Consider the following 3,837-nt stretch of genomic DNA (forward strand, 5'->3'; position numbering starts at 1 on the left):
TCGTGCCACTGCACCACTCCAACCTGGGCAACAGTGAAACTCTGTCTCAAAGAAAAAAAAAAGAGAGAGAAGAGAATAGAACTATAGACACATGCCAATGCACCCAGCTATTTTTTTTTTTTTTTTGGTAGACGTGGGGTCTTGCTATGTTCCTCAGGGCACCATGGCCAACTGATTTTTTTTATTTTTTGCAGAGACAAGGTCTCGGGGGCTCTCTTTGTTGCCCAAGTTAGTCTCAAACTCCTGGCCTCAAGTGATCCTCTTGCTTCCGCTGTGATGGTTAATACTGAGTGTCAACTTGATTGGATTGAAGGATGCAAAGTATTGATCCTGGGTGTGTCTGTGAGGGTGTTGCCAAAGGAGATTAACATTTGGGTCAGGGCTGGGCGAGTTGGCTCACACCTGTAATCCCAGCACTTTGGGAGGCCGAGGCAGGCAGATCACAAGGTCAGGAGATTGAGGCCATCCTGGCTCAAGCGGTGAAACCCCGTCTCTACTAAAAATACAAAAAATTAGCCAGGCATAGTGGCAGGCGCCTGTAGTCCCAGCTACTCGGGAGGCTGAGGCAGGAGAATGGCGTGAACCCGGGAGGCGGAGCTTGCAGTGAGCTGAGATCTCACCACTGCACTCCAGCCTGGGCAACAGAGCGAGACTCCATCTCAAAAAAAAAAAAAAAAAAAGCATTTGGGTCAGTGGGCTGGGAAAAGCAGATCCACCCTTAATTTGGGTGGGAACCATCTAATCAGCTGCCAGCATGGCTGGAATATAAAGCAGGAAGAAAAGCATGAGAAGACTAGACTTGGCCTAGCCTCCCAGCGTGCATCTTTCTCCCATGCTGCATGCTTCCTGCCCTCGAACATTGGTCTCAAAGTTCTTCAGCTTTCGGACTCAGACTAGCTCTCCTTGCTCGTTAGCTTGTAGACAGCCTATTGTGGGACCTTGTGATCGTGTGAGTTAATACTTAATAAACTCCCCTTTATATATCTCTGTATCCCATTAGTTCTGTCCCTTTAGAGAACCCTGACTAATACATCCACCTCCCAAAATGCTTCAATTACAGGCCTGAGCCACCGCGCCCAGCCCCTGACACTCCTTGATTTGCACGTAGTCCTCATCCTGCCCTGACTCCATCTGCATCTAGATTTTTCTCCTGGAAAAGCAGGGATTACCTGTAGACCAGGACGACAATGGTATGCTCTAGGTAGGATGCCCAGTCCTACCTAGACATGGACTTAGACTTTGAATTGAGTGATCTGGCACTAAGCCAGGGTCATACTGGACTTGGCCAGCTGTACTGAACCCTCCCTAATCTGGAGTCATTCCCACAGCTGGGCTTCCTGGCGGGTCAGGGTGGGAAGGGATCATTATAGAGCACCACCTATGTCTTAGGCACTATGCTAAATACTTTACATGGATAATTTCACTTTATCTTTACAACAAAGATGCAAGGCAATACTTTTATTATCCCCATCCTAAAGATCAGGAAACTGAGGCTTAGAGAGGTTGAGTAACTTCCCTAAAGCTTGCAAGCGGTGAAGACAGGACTGAACCTAGGCAGTCTGGTTCCACCACACCCCTCTGAGAGCCGAGTTAGCAGGAAGTCATGGGGTGAGCAAGCTCTAGTCACAGCCTCTGCCTGCTTTCCTCCAGCCTGCAATATGCCCAGAGACAGCCATCCTCTGGTGTCTCTATTATTCGTTTGGATGTGGATTACGCTAGTTTTTCCTATGTATGTGGCTTACTGTTTTTAAAAATATATTGTGAGCTCCTTAAGGACAGGGACCGTGTTCCACTATAGTACTGCACACATGCCAAGCAAATAGCTCAGGAAATATGTATTTATTGGGAATCCAAATTGCATGAAGACAGAGATTCAGCATAGAGAACCACAACTGGATCTCAAAGATCTTCTAGACTTCAGAGTCTCATTTTACAGTTGAGGAAACTGAGGCCTGCAAAATAGAATCAGGGCCTTTCTTCAAGGCAGAGCCCTCCCAAATCATTCTCTTCCCCATAGCCCTGGGACCATTGCCAGAACTCTGTACTTATCAACCGAATCATGTGAAGACCTTGATATCCAAAGACTGTAAAATAATTTAAACCCAGTGTCATTTCAGACCAACCAGAGACTAATAGCCAGAAGTAAAGGAGCCTTAGAAATTACCCTGTTCGGCCGGGCGCGGTGGCTCACGCCTGTAATCGCAGCACTTTGGGAGGCCTAGGCGGGCAGATCACGAGGTCAGGAGATCGAGACCATCCTGGCCAACACGGTGAAACCCCGTCTCTACTGAAAAAAATACAAAAAATCAGCCAGGTGTGGTGGCAGGTGCCTGTAGTCCCAGCTACTCGGGAGGCTGAGGCAGGAGAATGGCATGAACCCCAGGAGGTGGAGCTTGCAGTGAGCCGAGATCGCGCCACTGCACTCCAGCCTGGGTGACAGAGCGAGACTCCATCTCAAAAAAAAAAAAAAAGAAAGAAATTACCCCATTCAACTTTCAGGTTGTAAATGAGGAACGGGCCCAGAGATGACAAGTCACCTTCCCATCCTTGTCAGTTGGCCAGTGACTTCTTATTAAATGGGGTTGCCCCTGGCCAGAGGTAACAGAGGCATGCAGGATGCATAGGGCAGCCTTTCCCTGGTTGGGGTGTGTATGTCCAAGTGGGAGTGGGGGTGACTGGCTCCTTCCCCAAGGCCAGACTGCTTGGAGAACAGTGTCCACCCTCCAGCAGAGCCACCCTCCCATGTTCGCCCTCACTCCTCTGTCTCCCAAGCAGTAGAGGCATGGCTGGAACCTGTGGCTGAGCTGGAACCTGATGCCACCACTCCTTCCATCCTTCTCCCCAAGCCTTTCCCTTCCAAGCACCAGCTCTGGCCCAGAGACCAGGTTTGGAATGTCGCATATTCACAAATTCTTTGTTTGTTTTTTTTTTTTTTTTTTGAGACGGAGTCTTGCTCTGTCGCCCAGGCTGGAGTGCAGTGGCACGATCTCAGCTCACTGCACCCTCCACCTCCTGGGTTCACGCCATTCTCCTGCCTCAGCCTCCTGAGTAGCTGGGTCTACAGGCGCCCGCCACCATGCCCGGCTAATTTTTTTGTATTTTTCGTAGAGACGGGGTTTCACCGTGTTAGCCAGGATAGTCTCAATCTCCTGACCTCGTGATCCGCCCACCTCGGCCTCCCAAAGTGCTGGGATTACAGGCATGAGCCACCGCGCCAGGCCACACATTCACAAATTCAAACTTGGCTGCCCTGTGTCTCTTTGGGTAAAAAATACAGAGCTGAGGAAAATAAGTGTCTCCATTCTATTTTGCTTCCCGCAGAAGCCAAGGGCCATAGGAAAGAGAAGTCCCATTGCTTCTTATGGGCTGTATTGGAGTATCATGTGAGCTGGGAGAATTAAAGAAGGCTGTTTTGTCCTCACTAGACATTAATAGTGACCTTCCTCAGGGGGTCACCCCTGGCCCTCCCGTGCATTCCCAAGCACAGTATGGATCAAGAAAAAAGACCTTTCTGAAGGCTGAAAAGGATTGTTCCTGACAGGCCTGCAAAAACAGCAAACAGCATATGGGGGTACTGAGCTCTGCATGGGGAATCTGTCAGGCTTAACAAAGGGCGGGCTCTCCCAGGGACAGGAAGTTAGAAGGTGAACTGCAGGGAACCTCCTTTCATGGGGATGGAGAACCGCTCTCTCCCACTTCCCTCTGGCTGTGCTTCCACAGAAGAGCTGAGCGGCTGGCTCTCTCTATCTGTCTACCCAGGCCTTGAAGCAGTGCAGGGAAATTCTCTCTCCTCTCTGGCTAAATCCCACCCCCAGATGAAGGAAACTAATTTCTTCC

At 49.6% G+C, this 3,837-nt stretch overlaps 1 annotated feature.

The window, feature by feature from the left end:
• Positions 2,570-3,071: an enhancer, noted in NCBI's record as "H3K4me1 hESC enhancer chr1:212299717-212300218 (GRCh37/hg19 assembly coordinates)". NCBI's record gives its function as "activates a minimal SCP1, AML or CMV promoter by ChIP-STARR-seq in primed H9 embryonic stem cells {active_cell/tissue: H9 hESC(primed)}" and the evidence as "EXISTENCE:reporter gene assay evidence [ECO:0000049][PMID:30033119]".

The sequence above is a fragment of the Homo sapiens genome, chromosome 1 (assembly GCF_000001405.40).
Source record: "Homo sapiens chromosome 1, GRCh38.p14 Primary Assembly".
Taxonomy (NCBI): domain Eukaryota; kingdom Metazoa; phylum Chordata; class Mammalia; order Primates; family Hominidae; genus Homo; species Homo sapiens.